This window comes from Homo sapiens, chromosome 13, assembly GCF_000001405.40.
Source record: "Homo sapiens chromosome 13, GRCh38.p14 Primary Assembly".
In the NCBI taxonomy this organism is placed as follows: domain Eukaryota; kingdom Metazoa; phylum Chordata; class Mammalia; order Primates; family Hominidae; genus Homo; species Homo sapiens.
The window spans coordinates 35718667-35722533 of record NC_000013.11 but is presented as its reverse complement, the minus strand read 5'-3'; the positions used below and the strand labels follow the sequence as shown (position 1 = coordinate 35722533).

At 47.3% G+C, this 3867-nt stretch overlaps 1 annotated feature.

The window, feature by feature from the left end:
• Nucleotides 1617-2117: an enhancer, noted in NCBI's record as "H3K4me1 hESC enhancer chr13:36294554-36295054 (GRCh37/hg19 assembly coordinates)". NCBI's record gives its function as "activates a minimal SCP1, AML or CMV promoter by ChIP-STARR-seq in naive H9 embryonic stem cells {active_cell/tissue: H9 hESC(naive)}" and the evidence as "EXISTENCE:reporter gene assay evidence [ECO:0000049][PMID:30033119]".

Sequence of the window (3867 nt, the reverse complement as noted above, 5' to 3'; positions counted from 1 at the left end):
GGGGCACCAGCGAAGCATTCTCCCTGTGAAAGGATGTAGGGACGCTAGATTCGCTTTGTCCTTCCTCATTGCAGTTATCGTGAAACACACAGCCACATCCTAAGAGCCTCAGCTTTGTCACCCGTTGAATGGGTGAGTGATTATTGTAAGTGGAGCATGCTTAACCCATGCTTTTTGCCTTTGCAAAAATAAGCATCCACAATATTTAAACGGCTGTTTTAGTCACTTGTAGAGGCACAAACAAAAGAACCCATAGGGGCATAAGCTGTAATTTTATGATGAAACAGTTCAAACTCTATGATCGTTTGGGCTCTGGATTAAGTGTTTCCTTCTCCAGATTCTTGAAGAGGACCCAATATATGAAATCGTTTTTGGGTTTTTTTTTTTTTGTTGTTGTTGTTGTGTGTATTTTTTTTTCCTTTCCAAGATATGGTCTGTCTATGTTGCTCAGCTGGTTTTGAACTTCTGGGCTGAAGAGATCCTCCTACCTCAGCCTCCCGAGTAGCTGGGACTATAGGCCACCACTCTTGGTTATCATTATTATCCTGAATCCAAGTGGTTTTTGGTGAGAGACATCATCTACCTACATGTCTTATCCACCTGTGAACCATGCAATTCCCTGCTTTCTAACATCCCTTTGGTTAAATATATCATGTTAACACATAACCTGGTACATACATGTTTAAAAGACGTATTACTTCATGGGATGATTTGTCTGCATATGGGGATGAAAAGAGCCTTGGTTTTCCCCCTAAGGATAAGTTCTAATATGTGAAATAATTCCCAGTTCTCTGGGAGAATCCTGAAGATTCTTCAGTGTCAGCTGGCAGTGGCCTGCGTGTGGACCCCATCTCTCCACTCTCGAGAGAGGGGGTGTCCCTCTGCTGAAAGCTCAGGGATGAAGGCCTGTGGCCCCTCCACAGAGCCTGGCTTTGCTGGGTTCTCAGCAAGGTCTCCAAATGTCCATGCCAGCCCCACCCCTGATCTCCTTCCCCCACTCTTGCTGCTCAGCCCCTTTTGGCTACTGGATCTGACAATTCATGACGACCCCGAGAACACTGATCTTCGTGGAGGCCTTCATCTGCCGGACACATCTGGAAAGTACTCCGAGGGGTCTACCTGGTTTTCCTGATTAATGTAGATGTAAAGATTTTATCAAGGCTCCTGGCGGCCGGACTTCAAGATGTAATCACAAAATCAATCCACATAGACTAACCGGGCATAGGCTTACTAAGAAGACATTCCACAATGTCAGGCACTTAATTAAGGCGCTCTGGCTCCTCTGCCCCTGATTGATTCTTTTCTTTCCCTAACAGGTGATGCTGGTCCTCTGGGTGGACAGGCCACTCCCCAGCCAGAGACCCCCGTGCATTCAGAGCCTGCAGTTTGGTGAGAAGACCACCAGAGGGCACCCGTGCATCATCCCAGTCCCCAGGGACTGGACCGGAAGACCAACGGGATCCCTCTTCCAGCCCCCCAGCGAACTTGAAGGAGCAGCCAACTCAGCCTGCATTATCTGCTAGGCTGCATTTTGTTTGCTGAGCTCCAGGATTCTTCTCCGACCCTCAGGCATCTCTTGAGCATAATCAGAGACTCCTCCCATCTCCTCACCATCCCACTTTTTGCACCTTAGTGCGTTGTGGAGCAGAGGACTGCCCCGCGCCGGGGAACCAGCCTGTGCTCTGGCCTGAGCACCTGGGAGTCCTAGCCACGCTGGCTTGCTTGACATAGAGTTTCCCACTGGAAATTCAAAAACTTCAGAAATGGGAGTTTTTAAAAATGTAAGCACCTTGTGAAAAGTAGCCCAGATCAGAGATTGCCAACCTACTGCCCCTTGACGGATGCGAAGTTTTTTCTGCATTCATTCATTCATTCATTCAGCCATCAGGTTCATCTGGCATGATTTTAGCACATGACCATTTAATTCATCAAAGATTTGTTTAGCGCCTAACATGAGCCAGGCATTGTGCTGGGAATATACCTGTACTCCAGTCATTTATAAAATGAGGCACTGTCTGACTCAGCCCAGAAGGACGTCATCCAGCCAGTCCTCTGTAACGTCTGAGTATACCTGGGCCAGAATCATCAACAGTAGCTTGGCTGCATGAGGCCCTGCCAATCGAGAAGCAGTTCTACTGCCCCAGAGCAACAAAGGGCTCCAGAGAGGCTCAGACTTCATTGGCCCAGGGCAATCAAGAAGGCTTCATTCATTCATTCATTCAGTGGGTATTTACTCAGCACCTGGTATGTGCCCAGCAACAAAATGAATCAGAAATAAGCCAGACTGGTGCAGCATTCTTCATCACATAGAGAGACTGCTCATTTGGTTGTACCTACATTGGGCCCCAAAATCTTGACTGTAGTAGCCAGGTAGCGTTCACCCAGTCCTGACTGTTATAGATAAAGCAATCTTGGAGGGCTTCTTTAACTCAAATCTTTATCAAGCTGCCAAGAGAATTTGTTTGAAATGATTGGTACTTTGGAAAGAGAAGTACATCTCTATCATTTACTATAGGAGTTTTTGCAAGTTCTTATTCTTGTTCACAAGAGACTCAGGCAGTGTGATCAAAAGGACTCTTCTGTCATCCGTGGAGATACTATGTCCTCTTCCGGTCCCAGGCCATTGGCCATCCGGAAGGCTTGTCTCTGCTGGGGCTCACATCTTTGGCATGGGTCTTCGTTATTGTGGCCAAAATGAGTGTCAACCACAAATTCCATAGTGTTAGAAATAGGACTTTTCCCATTTTTTTCTGTAAGTTAATTTCTGTTTCAAGGTGCTACTCTACCTGAGTGAAAGACACACATTTTCCATTTAACCAGGGATTCCAATCCCCATTTTTCCCAGGGTGATGTTGTAACTGCAGGAACTTGACTAGTGTTGTGGCAAGGAGGTTGGAGGAAATGTGGTCCCTGAGTCCTGTGTCCATGGAGGCCCCCCCCGGGGCATCTGCTGAGCCTGTCCACAGGCATGAGGCTCTCTTTGCCCTGCGCTGAGATGCAGAGGTGACGTTCTTTCTGCTGCTCCCATGAGGCTCAGCACCACCTGCAAACCCTCTCTGGGGTCTTGACTTCTCAGGACTCTGTCCAGGAAAATGTTCAGGATCCCCCTCAGCCAGCTTCCCTGGGATTTAATTCCCAGTCTTGAGGAGCATGTTTTTTCTAGACACCAGTGGAGGAAGTTCTTTTCCATTCTTGAGGTTTTTCCCTGAGAGAAACTTCCTGTACTTTCTGGTTTGCCTTGGAGGCACCTGACGATAGCTTAGTGGGTCGAGGCTTCGGGAAGCCAAGGTAGAGGCAGCTCCCCTCTGCCTTCTAGATTTTCACAACTGCGCTGTCTCACCCTGAGGCAAAGCAGAGCAGGTGAGAGAAAAGAAGGAAGATTTACCAGGAGAGATTTTCAAAACCGGTTAATACTATTTCCAATAAAATCTCAAAAATGTTATTCTACCATATCAAGATGTCCATAGTTTTTATTTCTGCAGAAGTTCCAAGTTTGCTCATAGAACAGTTTGTGTGTGGCTCCAATAGGTGCTGCAGAAAGTATGCTTCCAGATTTACATCCGCTGCCCCAGCCTGCGCCTGTCTCTCTTTACGGCAAGTCCCTGAGGCAGCAAAGGGGTAGATATGCTATAGCTTGGTGGGAAAGCCTCTATCCATAGAATTTTGAGCTAAACCCATCAGCCACAAGCCCAAACACCACTTCACTTCTGTGGTTAAATCCACCACGTAACATCCTTCAGGCTACAGTCCCTTGGGAGCCTCACGGTGTATCTGTGTCACACCTGCCCCCATAAATGGAATTTACTAGGCTCTGAGAGAACAAAAACAAGAGGCAAAGCCTCAGTCCTCAAACAGCTTACAGCATGG